This window comes from Homo sapiens, chromosome 8, assembly GCF_000001405.40.
Source record: "Homo sapiens chromosome 8, GRCh38.p14 Primary Assembly".
NCBI lineage: Eukaryota > Metazoa > Chordata > Mammalia > Primates > Hominidae > Homo > Homo sapiens.
The window spans coordinates 54,690,956-54,709,248 of record NC_000008.11 but is presented as its reverse complement, the minus strand read 5'-3'; the positions used below and the strand labels follow the sequence as shown (position 1 = coordinate 54,709,248).

The window sequence follows — 18,293 nt, the reverse complement described above, 5'->3', positions numbered from 1 at the left end:
CAAGGCTGGTTCTTGGGAAATTTCTAAAGAAAACTTTGGTTTTGTGTTTAGAATCACCTCTGCCTCATGTATCCTGACTCTGGTCTCCTCATGGGGGAAAACCAGTTTCTCCATCCTGTTATTCTCAGTCCTCCACAATGGGGCCTTAGGAAGTGGGCAAACCTGGACAAAGCCTCAGCTCTAAGGCTACCTGGGGACTCTGGGTGAGATACTTAACCAGGCTCACACTCAGCTTCAGCATCTGAAGAATGAGCATGCCAATAGTTTCTTTGTGGCAGGATAATACTTCTGTGTTTTAATCTGTACAACTCCATCCAACTTCCTGTGATCACCAGATTCTTTCAATTGAATGCCAAGGACTTCTTCCAGTCCCTCAGCCCCATCAGATAGAGCTGAGTCACCCATAGCACAAATAGGAAGAAAAAGCATGAATATTAAGTGTAGGACAAAAAGATTCTGCTAAAAACTTACAGAGGAAGTTTACTCACTGGGAAGAAAAAGATAACCAGCACACTGAGAAAAAAAAAAAAAATGGAAGAGTCAGAGAGAGGCATACAGGCTGGAAGTGAAGAACCAAGAAATCACCATTCAGCTGGGCTCAGTGGCTCACGCCTGTAATCCCAGCACTTTGGGAGGTTGAGGCAGGTGGATCACGAGGTCAGAAGATCGAGACCATCCTGGCTAACACGGTGAAACACCGTCTCTACTAAAAATACAAACACAAAAATTTAGCTGGGCATGGTGGCAGGCACCTGTAGTCCCTACTCTGGAGATTGAGGCAGGAGAATGGCATGAACCCAGGAGGCGGAGCTTGCAGTGAGCCGAGATTGCGCCACTGCACTCTAGCCTGGGCAACAGAGTGAGACTATGTCTCAAAAAAGAAAAAAAAAAAAAACCAGAAATCACCATTCAGCTAGAGTATGAGGCAGCTAAATAGAAAGTGAGCAACCACTGAGCTATCCCTTTGGTTACTACCCGGGGAAGATAAACATTTCCAATGTTGACCCATTTCCCACTTTGGAGTGACACTTACCTGTGCCTCTAGAAACTCTGCCCAGCAACTTCCAAACACAAACACAAAAGCATGTATTACATAGTGACACATTATCTCATGGTTCTGAACACTCCTGCGAGCCCCAGAAGGGAAAGGCTTGTATAACTTGTGAATGTTGAGGATAGGAAGGCTACTTACTGATTTCCTCCCAGGACACTCTGTCCTAGGGGGTAACTGAACATTAGATGAAATTGTACTTCTAACTAGTCTAGTCATAGTAATAATGTTACTCATTTTTATCCCAATTAGTCCACTTACCAGTGTAAAGACTACAAGCATGAGTTTGTCTCTTAAGCTTGGCTTCCTCTTCTGTGAAATGGTGATAAAATCTACTTCATTATGCACTTGTGGGTAGATCAGGGATATTAACTACACGTGTGTATGTGCATGTGCTTCGCCTTTGCATTGTGAGCATCAGTGCAGCTCACCTGACACAAACTCACCAGTCTGCAGCACCGACAGGGACCCTGGGAACCATGAAAGGTCAAAGTCCTCCCTCCTCATACCCCAAGAAGCTCATGCAAGTTCTTCCTTATAGCTAGACATCATGACTGGTAAGAAGGGAGAGGGCGGACCTCAGAATTTATTCAGAAGATCTAATTTAAACTAAACTATTTTAAACAATAATAGATGGAGAGCATTAACAGGGAGGTTAAATGTGCAATCTTACTTGTTCCTCACCCCACAGAAGAATTATGAATATATATAAACTGTTATGTTAGTTGTCTTCCACATCCCCTCCTAAGGCTCAAGGTGTTAAAGAAAAACCCCTGTCTGGGCACAGTGTCTTAGGCCTATAATTCCAGCACTTTGGGAGGCCAAGGCAGTGGATCTCTTGAGCCTAGACATTGGAGACCAGCCTGGGCAACATGGCGAGACCCTCTCTCTACAAAAAGTACAAAAATCAGCAGGGCATGGTGGCATGCGCCTGTAGTCACAGCTACTCAGGAGACTGAGGCAGGAGGATCACCTGAGCTGCTGTGAGCCGAGATTGCATGACTGCACTCCAGCCTGGGTGACAGAGTGAGACTCTGTCTCTAAAAATAAAAATACAAAAAGAAAAACCCCTAATATTTAGAATTTAAAATAGCTTCCTAGTCAAGTACAGGGTTTCCAGTGGTGGAAATTCAGGCACCAAAAGGAGCAGTAAGGAGACACTGTTGAGCTGGCCTTTCTAGAACCTTGGTTCTCAAAGCATCATTCATGGACCAGCATCAGCAGCCACAGCTGAGAGCTTGTTAGAAACGTAAACACTCAGGTCCCACGCCAGCCTTCCTCAATCAGAATCTACTTCCTAACACAATTCCCAGGTGATTTGTACATACATTACATTTCAGAGGCCCTATCTAGAGGGTCAGGATTCCTCTCTTATCATACCAGGCATGTGGCTGCTCTCCTCACTTATTAAAAATACCAGTCAAGGGAGACCACCACATGTAACATTCAATTTCCAAAACCCACTCAGAAAGTGCTATTCTCATGTCTACAACTGGCAAATGTCTTAAACATTTGCTGAGAGAAACAAGAGCAGATGCTTACTGTTCCATCGCATCGGCCATCCTTGATTCTTAGATACATTTGTGCATTTTTCACACTTTCAAACATGCAAATCCCAGAGCTGATTTTATGCACTTTCCAGTAGGATTTTTCAGACTGGCTTCCCACTCCAGTGCAGCTTCCATCAGGCTGGAGACACAGGGCCTGACACAGGCTTGTAGCAAGCAGAACCACAGCACTGTTGAGGAACACCCCCTTCAGAGCAACAAACAGAACAGAAAGGCAGTCAGTAACGGGCTCGTGTTTTGCTAGAGGGAGACAACTATAGAGGCAATTCTCTTACTGAAGCCATAGTGACCAGGAGGCTTGGTGGCTGAAAACGAGCAAAAGAAGTAAACAATGTCACTGCTATGCAAAAGTAAACAAAAGGAGGTTGGTTTACTTCAGTTATCATTTGTTGACAGTATAAAGGCCAGCATGAGATGCTACAGAGATTTTTAAAAGATACAAAACACATATATTTCTCTTAAGGAATTTACTATCACCTTAAACAAATAATGTTAATATTAATATAAAGCACAATAAAAATATGCTATAAGAGTAACTGAATTATGGAATACTCTCTATGGATATTTAAATGTATGCATATAGGAATGAATGTAAAAAGATATCAAATACAAATAAGATATATTTAAGAAAATCCTATGTAATCATTAATTTAAGAGGAAGATATAAAAGACTCTTGAGAGTTAATTAGAAATACACTAACACAGTAAAACTGATAATAGATAAATACACAAATCACAAAAGATAAAATACAAATGGTGAACAAACATAAGGAAAAGTAATCCATGCTAGTAATACAAAAAAAAAAAAAAGCTAAAATTGGATATCTGTTCCTCTAGAAAATTGTCAAAGTTCTTCTCCTTAAGGACCATACTCAACAACACTGAGGTCAGTGAGGTGGGTGTTTTCCTACACTGCTGAAACTAGTTGGGTACTAAGAATTTAACTTTACCCAGAGAAGTCTGACCTTCGCCTCAGCTTCTGAGTGGTAATCTCTTTACCCTTGGAGTGTCATGCCTGATAGGAGTGTTGTTGTTTGCCTGCAGAGCTTGGGTCAGCCAGATAGTAATAATGTGACTTAGGGTAGGGGGCTTTGAGTCAGAAAGTGTTAAGTGACCTCCTGAGAGGCTGGAGACTGAGACCAGCCACATGGACTCACTACAGGATGGAAGCCCAATAAAGACTCTGAATACCAAGGCTCGGGAAGCTTCCTTGGCTGGCAATACTCCATGCATACTGTCACACACCAGTGCTGAGAAAGTACCTCTGCCTTGACTCCATGGGGAGAGAACCAGTGCACATTCCATGTTTGGTGCTTTTCCTAGACTCTGCCTTATGTGTCTCTTTGCTTAGCCAATTTTAATCTGTATCCTTTCTCTATAATAAACTGTAACTTTGAGTATAACAATTTTCAATGGGTTCTGTGAGTTCTTCCGGTGAATTATCAAGCCTTGATAGTGGTCTCGGGGTCCCCCAAACTCTGTGGTTGATGTCAGAAGTGAGGATAGTATTATAGACTGTTCCCCCTAACTTTATAGTTGGCTTAACTTTCACAGGAGTAAAAATTGGGACATCTGAAGAAATAAATTTGGCAGTATGTTCCCAGAGCCTTAAAAGTTTCACGTTCTAACCCTTAAGTTCAATTTTTAATTTTCTAAGCTAAGAAAATAATAAATGATGTGGTCAAAGGCATATGTCAAAGTATATATTACAGTATCATATGCAGAAGTGGGAAAAGAGAGAGATTAAATGTTCAACAACAAAAAAGACATATGTGTGTGTGTGTATACATGTAATAGTTACATTTGAGTATTATGAAACCATTAACCTTAAGTTCAACCTTAAGCTAAATAACATGAGATGTATGAGTTAAAATTATGTTGCTTTGGGAGAAATAGTAATGTGAGAAAGTGTTTATTATACTGTAAGTACACACATACCTTGTTTATTTGCACTTCACTTAATTGTGCTTCACTTTATTTGCTTCACAGATAATTTTTCTTAAATTGAAGGTTTGTGAGAACCCTACATCAAGCAAGTCTATCAGTACTATTTTTCCAACAGCATGTGTTCACTTCATGTCTCTGTGCCACATTTTGGTAATTATCACAATATTTCAAGCTTTTCATTATTATGATAACTGTTATGGTGATCTGTGATCAGTGATCTTTGATGTTAACTATCGTAATTATTTTAGGGGGACATAAACTATGCTCATATAAGACAGTGAACTTAATCAACAAATGCTGTGTGTGTTCTGAATGGCTCCACTAACCAGTCATTCCCCTATCTCTCTCTCGCCTCTCTATTCCCTCAGACACAACAATATTGAAATTAGTCTAATCAATAACCCTATAATGGCCTCTAAGTGTTCAAATGAAAGGAAGAGTCACATATCTCCTGCTTTAAATCAAAAGCTAGAAATGACTGAGCTTAGCGAGGAAGATCTGTCAAAAGCTGAGGCAGATCTAAAGCTAGGCCCCTTGTGTAAGGTAGCCATGTTGTGAATGCAAAGGAAAAGTTCTTGAAGCAGATCAGAAATGCTACTCCAGTGAACACATGAATAATAAGAAACTTAAACAGCCTTATTGCTGATATGGGGAAAGTTTTAGTGGCCTGGATATAAGACCAAAACCAACCACAATGTTCCCTTAGCCAAAGCCTAACCCCAAGAGCAAGGCCCTAACTCTCTACAATTCTATGAAGGCTGAGAGAGGTGAGGAAGCTTCAGGAGAAAAGGTTGAAGCTAGCAGAGGTTGGTTGATGAAGTTTAAGGAAAGAAGCCATCTTCGTAACATAACAGTGCAAGGTAAAGCAGCAAGTACTGATGGAGAAGCTGTAGCAAGTTACCCAGAAGATCTAGTTAAGATAATTGATGAGATTATCAACAGATTTTCAGTGTAAATAAAACAGCCTTCTATTAGAAGAAGATGCCACACATGACTTTCATAGCTAGAGAGGAGAATTCATTGCCTGGCTTCAAAGCTTCAAAGGATAAGTTGACTCTCTTGTTAAGGGCTAATGCAGTTGGTGACTTTCAGTTGAAGCCAGTGCCCATTTACCATTCCAAAAACCCAAGGGCCCTTTGGAATTATACTAAATCTACTCTACCTGTGCTCTAGAAATGGAAAAATGAAGCCTGAAGGACAGCATATCTATTTACAGCATCGTTTACTGAGTATTTTCAGCCCACTGTTGAGACCTACTGCTCAGAAGAAAAACAATTTAAAATATAACTATTCATTGACAATGTACCTGGTCACCCAAGAGCTCTGATGGACACGTACAAGGAGATTAATGTTATTTTCATGCCTGCTAACACAATATCCATTCTGTAGCCTATGGATCAAGAAGTAATTTCAATTTTCAAGCCTTATTATTTAAGAAATACATTTCCTAATACTATAGCTGCCATAGACAGTGATTTCACTGATGGCTGTGGGCAAAGTACACTGAATACCTTTTGGAAAAGATTCACCATTCTAGATGCCATTAAGAACAACTATGATTCATGGGGATAGGAGGTCAAAATCTCAACATTAACAGGAGTTTGAAAGAATTTGATTTGAAACCTCGTGAACGATTTTGAGTGGTTCAAGACTTTGGAGGAGGAAATAACTGCAGATGTGGTAGAAATAGCAAAGGAGCTAGAATGAGAAGTGGAGCTTGAAGTTGTGACTGAATTGCTGCAATCTCATGATAAAATTGAACAGATGAAAGATTACTTCTTATGGATGAGCAAAGAATGTAATTTGTTGAAACAGAATAAACTCCTGATGAAGATACTGTGAACATTGTTAAAATGACAACAAATGATTCAGACTATTAAATAAACTCAGTTGATAAAGCAGCAGCAGCTCGAGAGGATTTATACTAATTTTGAAAAGTTCTACTATGGATAAAATGCTATCAAACAACATTGCATGCTATAGAGAAATCTTTCATGAAAGAATGAGTCAATCACTGTGGCAAACTTCATTGTTGTCTTATTTTAAGAAACTGACACAGCCACCCCAATCTGCAGCAACCACCACCCTGATTCATCAGCAACTGTCAATATCGAGGCAAGACCCCCCGCTACAGCAAAAAGATTACAACTTGCTGAAGGCTCAGATGATCATTAACATTTTTTAGCACTAAAATATTTTTAAATTAAGGTATGTACATTTTTTAGACATAATGCTGTTGTACACTTAATAGACTACAGTGTAGTAAACATAACTTTTACAGGCACTGGAAAACTCAGGAATTTGTGTGACTAGCTTTATTGAGAAATCTGCTTTATTGCAATGGTCTAGAAATGAACCTACAATATCTTTGAGGTTTTAAATATAAGTAGACTTTAGCTGAATATTGATTTAATAACTATGCTATACTAGTTAAGATAATTATTTTTAGTGAAAATCTTTTCCTTCGCGTTTCAAATACAGATAGCATTTGTCAGTGTTTTTGTGATGATTAAATTTAGTCTCACCGTGTGGTGAAATTCTCAATAAATGCCTGGAATAAAATGGGAAACCTCATAAATAATTGCTATTATATTTATATAATATCATTTTAAGATAGATTCACAAACACATAAAGAAAAAAGAATAAGCATTATGAAAGGATCAAATGTATACAACACTCAAAGAGTATAAATTCTAATTGTTAGAAAAGTTCAATATACACATTTGACTCCCAAATGCAAGGTTCTCTAACTTTTTATTAAGAATTCCCACATCCATAGTTAAATCTCCAACTTCAATTACATACAGGATATTAATCCCCTCAGAGTGTCATTGCTACTAAAGCTGTCATCTCTATTGCCTTTCAAAGTCTGCCAAACAGAATGGAAATAGGCACCAATGCCACCTAGTGGGAAGTGATTCGATTACTGCATTATGACTCAATTTAAGACTTTTGCTCAATAGGGCAAAAGAAAGTTGGGATTTAGCAATATAAACTTTAATAACTTTCTCCATTTTACCTTGACAAAAATCACAAATTCTTTTGAAAGATTTGCATAGCCTGCTGATGATGCATCAGCTATTTTGCCATGACGATCAAAAACAACTGTGTGACCAGGAACCAGTGCCGACTCAAGAAGTGCACAGCGGTTAGGCTGATAAAGCACCCGCAGCTCAGTGGTGGCTTCACCACTAACCTAAAAGGAAAAACAAAAAAACCCTCTAAATTAGTAACAGAAAAAAAAAATTTAATGTAATCACATTATATACATATACAGGTGTCTACTTCATTTTATGGAAACTTTGTACTATTTATAAAATCTCATGATTTTGAAATTCAGTAGGTTTTATTCCCCAGACTTAATTCCAATGACTTGCTCCAATGACTTCCTTCTCTTGATTTCTCAGAATCCATGGAAGAATGTTGGAAAAATAACTTCATTGGCAGGATAATTTAATAAGATCCTAATATGTATCTTATCATTTTTTTTCATTTTCTCATTTGTGTCCTCCTAATTTAAGAGTATTTGGGACTAAAAACTGAAATCGATAGAAATTTTATCTCATTCCTAAATTTTGCTTTCAAAAATGAAACAAATTGAGAAGGTTATGCTACATTGAGACATGACTATTGTTCAGGACAGCGTTTTAGGTCTCACCCCATCTCCCTCTAGTTCCCCAGGGAGGCAGTAGGGTGTGAAGAGGAAAAGTCGTTGGTGCCTCTTGAATGGCTAGATCCAAAACACTAAGTCTATCAACCTCAGCAAAGTTCTATTGCCCAAGTATGGCAGGGAGGCGGCAGAGCTATTGATCTGCAAGAAACCATCTGACACTGGATGAGCACATCTCAGTAACCAGTGTGGTTCAAAGCTATGACAGCTGTCACCAGATATTCTGAGGCCCACCATACCAGATGAAATCTTCTGTGAAACAAGATGAGTCCCATAGTAACTAAAATGAAATCTCCCACCAACCTACTGCAACCTAGTGGAATAAGGGCTTTAAGGTAGCCTTAATTTGATTTTAGAAAAATATAGTAGTTGAAGAGATATTTCTTCAACTCTTAATTCAATGGAGTAGATTCCATATCCATAGTCATATTTCTTAAGCATATACTATGACCAGGCTCCATACTGATCAGAATGTGCTATGAACTACAGTGTAGGGTACCTTATGAAGTCCAGAGCAGAGAAGAAAAGGCTTCATGGAAAAATCTGACTGACTGATCACTTAGTCAGAATTTCAGGCATACAAATACACAAGGTGGGTTTTTTTTTCAATAAGTATTATTTTCCCTTAGGTTAAATAACATCCCATGAGTTGAAATCAGCCTGTAATGCCAGTATTTTGGGAGGCTGAGGCAGGAAGAATGCTTGAGCCCAGGAATTCGAGGCTGCAGTGAGTTCTGATCATGCCAACTGCCCTCTAGCCTGGGTAACAGAGCAAGACCTTGTCTCAAAAAAAAAAAAAATTATTGTATAGCATTATATGAGGAAGCTGTAGCACTGGTGTTAGTGTCAGACTGCCTATATTAAATTCCTGCTTCCACACTTACTAGCTTGTGACTCTGTGCAACTCACTTAATCCTATTTTTCATGTTCCTCTTCTGTTAAATACAAATAATAATGGATTATCTCATCTAGTAGATTTAAGAATGAAATATTGTAATACATATTAAGCACTTAAAACAGTGCATTAAAGTTATCGTACAATGTATTATTTTAAAAAATAAATAACATGTATGCATTACATTAAATGCTACTTTTCAAATCTAAACTAAGCAACACAAGGTATAACTATAAAAAATTATTGTTTTTTCTCCAACAATATGGTCCCTAAAAGGGCCATTGAGAAGTCAGTCTTCTTTTGAAAGCTCATTAAAATTTTGAATGTTATTAGAGAATTGGTCTACTTTTTCTTGTCTAAATTCCAATTGCTGAAATTTGGAACCATTTATGCATCACAGTCTCAACAATTAGTGAAACAAAACAGAATGAAAAAAGTGCTAGTACAAGCCAAAAGGAAATGGTAATCTTATAAATGTATCTTATACAAAAAAATATACAGACATAATACTATTGATATATGGCAAAAAGAAAATTTACTACACACCATTCCAGTGACAATGCCATTGTCAAGAGCAAGAGAAAGATGCCTCATCTCATGACTTTGGAAAATGCATATATTTCTTTTGTTGAAAATAACATCAAAGACACCTGGAAAACATTTTTAAAGTATTAGAAAGCAAGTTTGGCTTTTAAAACTTTTTTCATTCAATATATACTGAAATCTCTTAATAATATATTTTAAACTTCTCAATTAAATGTTTTCAGTTAAAGGTAAAATGCATCTCCACAGTATGTTCAGTTTGTGAAAATTCATAGTATAATGTATGCACTTTTCTCATCTATATGTATGTGAATAAAATGATTTTAAAAACTGGTGATTCCTTGATCCATGACCTATTTCATTTCCTAGTCTGTGTGTTGTATGTATTTGAGTATGTACGTATATACACAGCTATATCTATATACATATACAATATACTAATATATCAAATATATTAAATATATAACATGTAATGTGTATTATATAATATTTACAAAATGATTTCATGATAACAAAGTTAAACTTTCTTTTATTTTATTATACTTTAAGTTCTGGGGTACATGTGCACAACGTGCAGGTTTCTAATATAGGTATACATGTGCCATGTTGGTTTGCTGCACCCATCAACTCATCATTTACATTAGGTATTTCTCCTAATGCTATCCCTCCCCCAGGACCCCAACCCCCGATAGGCCTTGATGTGTGATGTTCCCCTCCCTATGTCCATGTGTTCTCATTGTTCAACTCCCACTTATGAGTGAAAACATGAGGTGTTTGGTTTTCTCTTCTTGTGTTACTTTGCTGAGAATGATGGTTTCCAGTTTCATCCATGTCCCTGCAAAGGACATGAACTCACCCTTTTTTATGACTGCAGAGTATTCCATGGTGTATATGTGCCACATTTTCTTTATCCAGTCTATCATTGATGGACATTTGTGTTGGTTCCAAGACTTTGCTATTGTGAACAGTGCTGCAATAAACATACGTGTGCATGTGTCTTTATAGCAGAATGATTTATAATCCTTTGGGTATATACCCAGGAATGGGATTTGCTGGGTCAAATGGTATTTCTAGTTCTAGATCCTTGAGGAATCACCACACTGTCTTCCACAATGGTTGAACTAACTTACACTCCCACCAACAGCGTAAAAGCGTTCCTATTTCTCCACATCCTCTCCAGTATCTGTTGTTTCCTGACATTTTAATGATCGTCATTCTAACTGGCTGGAGGTGGTATCTCATTGTGGTTTTGATTTGCATTTCTCTGATGACCAGTGATGATGAGCATTTTTTCATAAGTTTGTTGGCTGCATAAATGTCTCTTTTGAGAAGTGTTTGTTCATATCCTTTGCCCATTTTTTGATGGGGTTGTTTTTTTCTTGTAAATTTGTTTAAGTTCTTTGTAGATTCTGGATATTAGCCCTTTGTCAGATGGGTAGATTGCAAAACTTTTCTCCCATTCTGTAGGTGGCCTGTTCACTCTGATGATAGTTTCTTTTGCTGTGCAGAAGCTCTTTAGCTGAATTAGATCCCATTTGTCAGTTTTTTCTTTTGTTGCCCTTGCTATTGGTGTTTTAGTCATGAAGTCTTTTTCCATGCTTATGTCCTGAATGGTATTGCCTAGGTTTTCTTCTAGGGTTTTTATGGTTTTAGGTGTTACGTTTAAGTCTTTAATCCATCTTGAGTTAATTTTTGTATAAGGTGTAATGAAGGGATCCAGTTTCGGCTTTCTACATATGGCTAGCCAGTTTTCCCAGCACCATTTATTAAATAGGGAATCCTCTCCCCATTGCTTGTTTTTGTCAGGTTTGTCAAAGATCAGTTGGTTGTAGATGTGTGGTGTTATTTCTGAGGGCTCTGTTCTGTTTCATTGGTCTACATATCTGTTTGGGTACCAGTACCATGCTGTTTTGGTTTCTGTAGCCTTGAGAAAACGCTGGAATTTTTTCCTTGGAACTGGACTGTGATGAGAGGTGCTTGCCATGAACATAAGCTACTGTCTTTTCTTTTCTTTTTTTGAGATGGAGTTTCGCTTTTGTTGCCCAGGCTGGAGTGCAATGGCACAATCTTGGCTCACTGCAGCATCTGCCTCCCAGGTTCAAGTGATTCTCCTGCCTCAGCCTCCTGAGTAGTTGGGATCACAGGCATGCGCCACCATGCCCAGCTAATTTTTGTATTTTTCGTAGAGACGGGGTTTCTCCATGTTGGTCAGGCTGATCTCGAACTCCCGACCTCAGGAGATCCACCTGCCTCAGACTACCAAAGTTCTGGGATTACAGGCATGAGCCATCACGCCCGGCCAGGTACTGTCTTTTTTTTGACCCTTCCTTTCCAGTTTTTGAAGATAACGCAGGAAATAATCTTCTCTGGATAAAAATTCCCCCAAAAAAAGGAAACACATGCTTCCACTTCATTGATAAAAATGTAGTGCTGTTCGGCACCTAGGTCTAGATGAGCTGATTGATGCGTTCACCCCGATAGCCAGGTGTGCCCATCTCCTTGAGGAAGCCCACTCTATTTTTGGTAGCGTGACGGGCCACTGAAAGGTGGAAAGGGTGCAAGAACCATGAGATCTCCTGGAAATGATTCCCTGGGAAGGCAATTTCATGAATGAGGTCTTCCAAGCAAATGATGTCAAACTTCCCCAGGTGCTCCTCAATCACTGTGTTGTCTGTCAGAAGAACGATCTTATTCTTGACCTTGGCTTGTCCACATTTCAAAATGAGTTACTGGACAGACTTCAGATTTGGAAATCCGCAGGTCACATAACGTTCCACTATACGTGGCATTTTTAGGTTCTGGGGGGTGACTTTTACCAAGACACCACTAAACATTTTCTTTAGGCGAAGTCTTGAAGTGGTTCTCTGCACCAGTAAAATCACACCATCAATCCTTTTGATGCGTACAACAAAGGCCAAGGAATGTTTATCTGGCAATTCTAAGGCATGAGGTTTCACTTCTGGTCATCTGAGACGTACTTTGTCACGTTTCTGCTGCCAGGAGTCATGTAGGAATAATTCCAGTCACTTAAACCTGAGCCCTTTTCCTTTCCTCTGCTCCTTCTTTGCCAAAAGTGCCTGCTTTGCCTGGGTGGCTTCGAGGGCTTGATAAGCTTTCCTCTTTTTCAGGAGACTTTCTGGAACAAAGGGATTTTTTCTTTGCTCTTGCTCCGCCATCTTTCTAGTGTTGCACAAAGTTAGATTTTCTAAAATGAACCAATCCTTCATTTCTTACTATTGTCAGCACAGCCCATTTTGTATTAACTAAAAATTTTGAGTTTAGTCAATATATACCAAATGAAGGAGGATTATGGTAGTTATTGGGTAATTTATAGTCCCAAATCCCAATTTTTAGCATGGAATTATTTAATTACCTGCTTTACTATATGTGTATATTCATCTAGCATTGGTAAATGCAATAAATTAATTCTACCTTTATAATTCTATTCCAGTTAACCACACAGGCAAACACTTTTAGTTAAGAATAAGGTCTGATGCAGAGGTTAACTATAGAATTTCAATTTTTAAAAGGATTTTACTATATATTTATATGATTTTATATTCATTTAAAGTCATATTTCTAAAAATGAAAGACACAGATTAGTTCAATAGACCACTCCAAATGGAAATCTTCCTGTTTAATTAATTTCTAATTTATTTTTGTCTACATAATAAAATGCATCTTAATGTTTAAGACTTAGGATCTCATAAAATTAAACCATGTTGACAAGCACTTACAGATGATCCTGGGGGTTAGGGTGTTATTGAAATAAGGAAAGAAACAAGAACTAGGAATTCTGACTTTGAGTCTGACACAACTCATTAGATAACCTTGGACAAAGCACTGTTCTTCTCTCTGTCAATTTCCTCATCAATAAAATCAAGGCAAGAATTCTCAAATGACTTGTTCAGATGATTCATTAATTGTGCAAACTAATGAGTTCACAATGAAAGAATCTGAAAACTAAAGGTGTTCCTGAAAATGTTCTAAGAATAATTTTCTGGTTTAATTTAATCTTCTTATTGTTCTAATGATTTCATAAATACCAGAATTTAAATTCATAAAACTATAAAGGTATTATCTTATTTTTTTCAGTAAGAACTCAATAATTAAAATAATAAAAATTTACATATTTTGTTATAAAAATTTCTTTATTTTAAAGTTTATCAAGAATATCAACTACAAGTTCTATGAAGAGATGGCTATTTATCTTACTGTCATTGCTGTTAGTCCCACACGTAAGACTATCTCATCAACAGTTAAGTATTTTATAAATATTTGTTGAATAAATCAGTTATTTCTGCTGAGAAAAAAAAAATTAAGGGTCCCGATTTTAAGAAGTAAAGCATTCCTCAGCAAATGCAAAAGAACAGAAATTATAACAAACTGTCTCTCAGACCACAGTGCAATCAAACTAGAACTCAGGATTAAGAAACTCACTCAAAACCGCTCAACTACATGGAAACTGAACAACCTGCTCCTGAATGACTACTGGGTGCATAACGAAATGAAGGCAGAAATAAACATGTTCTTTGAAACCAACGAGAACAAAGACGCAACATACCAGAATCTCTGGGACACATTCAAAGCAGTGTGTAGAGGGAAATTTATAGCACTAAATGCCCACAAGAGAAAGCAGGAAAGATCCAAAATTGACATCCTAACATCACAATTAAAAGAACTAGAAAAGCAAGAGCAAACACATTCAAAAGCTAGCAGAAGGCAAGAAATAACTAAAATCAGAGAAGAACTGAAGGAAATAGAAACACAAAAAACCCTATAAAAAATTAATGAATCCAGGAGGTGGTTTTTTGAAAAGATCAACAAAATTGATAGACCGCTAGCAAGACTAATAAAAAAGAAAAGACAGAAGAATCAAATAGATGCAATAAAAAATAATAAAGGGGATATCACCACCGATCCCACAGAAATACAAACTACCATCAGAGAATACTACAAACACCTCTACGCAAATAAACTAGAAAATCTAGAAGAAATGGATAAATTCCGCAACACATATACCCTCCCAAGACTAAACCAGGAAGAAGTTGAATCTCTGAATAGACCAATAACAGGCTCCGAAATTGTGGCAATAATCAATAGCTTACCAACCAAAAAGAGTCCAGGATCAGATGGATTCACAGCTGAATTCTACCAGAGCTACAAGGAGGAGCTGGTACCATTCCTTCTGAAACTATTCCAATCAATAGAAAAAGAGGGAATCTTCCCTAACTCATTTTATGAGGCCAGCATCATCCTGATACCAAAGCCTGGCAGAGACACAACAAAAAAAGAGAATTTTAGACCAATATCCTCGATGAACGTTGATGCAAAAATCCTCAATAAAATACTGGCAAACTGAATCCAGCAGCACATCAAAAAGCTTATCCACTATGATCAAGTGGGCTTCATCCCTGGGATGCAAGGCTGGTTCAACATATGCAAATCAATAAATGTAATCCAGCATATAAATAGAACCAAAGACAAAAACCACATGATTATCTCAGTAAATGCAGAAAAGGCCTTTGGCAAAATTCAACAACCCTTCATGCTAAAAACTCTCAATAAATTAGGTATTGATGGGATGTATCTCAAAATAATAAGAGCTATCTATGACAAACCCACACCCAATATCATACTGAATGGGCAAAAACTGGAAGCATTCCCTTTGAAAACTGGCACGAGACAGGGATGCCCTGTCTCACCACTCCTATTCAACATAGTGTTGGAAGTTCTGGCCAGGGCAATTAGGCAGGAGAAGGAAATAAAGGGTATTCAATTAGGAAAAGAGGAAGTCAAATTGTCCATGTTTGCAGATGACATGATTGTATATCTAGAAAACCCCATTGTCTCAGCCAAAAATTTCCTGAAGCTGATAAACAATGTCAGCAAAGTCTCAGGATACAAAATCAATGTACAAAAATCACAAGCATTCTTATACACCAATAACAGACAAACAGAGAGTCAAATCATGAGTGAACTCCCATTCACAATTGCTTCAAAGAGAATAAAATATCTAGGAATTCAACTTACAAGGGACAGGAAGGACCTCTTCAAGGAGAACTACAAACCACTGCTCAACGAAATAAAAGAGGATACAAACAAATGGAAGAACATTCCATACTCATGGGTAGGAAGAATCAATATTGTGAAAATGGCCATACTGTCCAAGGTATTTTATAGATTCAAGGCCATCCCCATCAAGCTACCAATGACTTTCTTCACAGAATTAGAAAAAACTACTTTCAAGTTCATATGGAACCAAAAAAGAGCCCGCATCACCAAGTCAATCCTAAGCCAAAAGAACAAAGCTGGAGGCATCACACTACCTGACTTCAAACTATACTACAAGGCTACAGTAATCAAAACGGCATGGTAATGGTACCAAAACAGAGATATAGACCAATGGAACAGAACAGAGCCCTCAGAAATAATGCCTCATATCTACAACCATCTGATCTTTGACAAACCTGACAAAAACAAGCAATGGGGAAAGGATTCCCTATTTAATAAATGGTGCTTGGAAAACTGGCTGGCCATATGTAGAAAGCTGAAACTGGATCCCTTCCTTACACCTTATACAAAAATTAATTCAAGATGGATTAAAGACGTAAATGTTAGACCTAAAACCATAAAAACCCTAGAAGAAAACCTAGGCAATACCATTCAGGACATAGGCATGGGCAAGCACTTCATGGCTAAAACACCAAAAGCAATGGCAACAAAAGCCAAAATTGGCAAATGGGATCTAATTAAACTAAAGAGCTTCTGCACAGCAAAAGAAACCACAATCAGAGTGAACAGGCAACCTACAGAATGGGAGAAAATTTTCGCAACCTACTCATCTGACAAAGGGCTAATATCCAGAATCTACAATGAACTCAAACAAATTTACAAGAAAAAAACAAACAACCCCATCAAAAAGTGGGCGAAGGACATGAACAGACACTTCTCAAAAGAAGACATTTATGCAGCCAAAAGACACATGAAAAAATGCTCATTATCACTGGCCATCAGAGAAATGCAAATCAAAAGCACAATGAGATACCATCTCACACCAGTTAGAATGGCAATCATTAAAAAGTCAGGAAACAACAGGTGCTGGAGAGGATGTGGAGAAATAGGAATAGTTTTACACTGTTACTGGGACTGTAAACTAGTTCCACCATTGTGGAAGTCAGTGTGGTGATTCCTCAGGGATCTAGAACTAGAAATACCATTTGACCCAGCCATCCTATTACTGGGTATATACCCAAAGGACTATAAATCATGCTGCTATAAAGACACATGCACATGTATGTTTATTGTTGCACTATTCACAATAGCAAAGACTTGGAACCAACCCAAATGTCCAACAACGATAGACTGGATTAAGAAAATGTGGCACATATACACCATGGAATACTATGCAGCCATAAAAAACGATGAGTTCATGTCCTTTGTAGGGACATGGATGAAATTGGAAATCATCATTCTCAGCAAATTATCACAAGGACAAAAAACCAAACACCACATGTTCTCACTCATAGGTGGGAATTGAACAACGAGAACACATGGACACAGGAAGGGGAACATCACACTCTGGGGACTGTTGTAGGGTTGGGGGAGGGGGGAGCGACAGCATTAGGAGATATACCTAATGCTAAATGACGAGTTAATGGGTGCTGTACACGAACATGGCACATGTATACATATGTAACAAACCTGCACATTGTGCACATGTACCCTAAAACTTAAAGTATAATAATAATAAAATAAAATAAAAATAAAAAGCCAGAGACTTTGAAAAATATATATATATTTGTATGCTTTTTCCCCTATTAATCTGCATTTTATCAGTGATTTTTAGTGAATCTTCACAAGGAAAAGGGGAAGTTTTCCCTTGTCCCCTACATGCTCTTCACTCAAAGGTGTTCCTAGGGTTCTATCTTTAAATGACTACCGTTCTCATGCCTCTTCTTCTCGCTCCCTGGGAAGTCTGCTTTAATAATCTATAAATTGAGAAATTCTAAACCTGTATCTCCACTCATCTCTCGCTCAGCATCAGGTTCATATACTTTTGCATGTAAACAACTGGATGTTTCATGAGCACTTCAAACTTAGAATGCACAAACTAGAACTCATAATTTTCCACACATTCCTAGCTTTCAAATCTAATCCTTCTAAATCCTTCTAGATTTATTTCTTCAGTTAGTGACTCAATGAATAATTCAATTACCCAATGCAGAAACCTTAGAGTAATCCTTTTCCCTTAACATTCCTTTTCCAATATATCACCAAGCCCTGCCAATTTTGCTTGCTAGAAATTCTTCAAATTTTTCTTTCTTCTCAATCAATATTCCCACTGAAGTACTCAAAGTCCTCATCACCTTTTGCTTGCCATATTACAAAAACCTACTGACTGGTCTTTCCTTTTCTAATCTTCCTCCATATGCCTCAAATCTGGCCTCCACTTAGCTGCCAAAGTGTTTCTACTCTACTTCAAATCCATTCGTGGCTATCTCTCAAACCAGGAGGGAATAAAGGAAGCTGATTTTGGACATGCAACTTCTCTCCCAGAGCCTTTTGTAATAGGCAAAGAGTAGCCATGGAAGAGTAAAGGTTTAAATTACCAAATG

The 18,293-nt window shown here is 37.8% G+C and overlaps 1 protein-coding gene and 1 pseudogene across 8 annotated transcripts in view; both read right to left on the bottom strand.

Moving 5' to 3' along the window:
• Positions 1 to 18,293, bottom strand: part of RP1 (RP1 axonemal microtubule associated) — a 312,050-nt gene that overhangs the window by 161,986 nt on the left and 131,771 nt on the right. For all 8 annotated transcript variants that reach the window (XM_047422069.1, XM_047422070.1, XM_047422071.1 and 5 more), the window contains 3 exons: positions 9,679 to 9,782; positions 7,587 to 7,763; positions 2,594 to 2,806 (listed from right to left, as the gene is read on the bottom strand). In XM_047422069.1, coding sequence (XP_047278025.1) covers positions 2,594 to 2,806; positions 7,587 to 7,763; positions 9,679 to 9,782 — 494 coding nt within the window. The remainder of the gene's footprint in view (positions 1 to 2,593; positions 2,807 to 7,586; positions 7,764 to 9,678; positions 9,783 to 18,293) is intronic.
• Positions 11,926 to 12,866, bottom strand: RPL7L1P18 (RPL7L1 pseudogene 18; annotated as a pseudogene).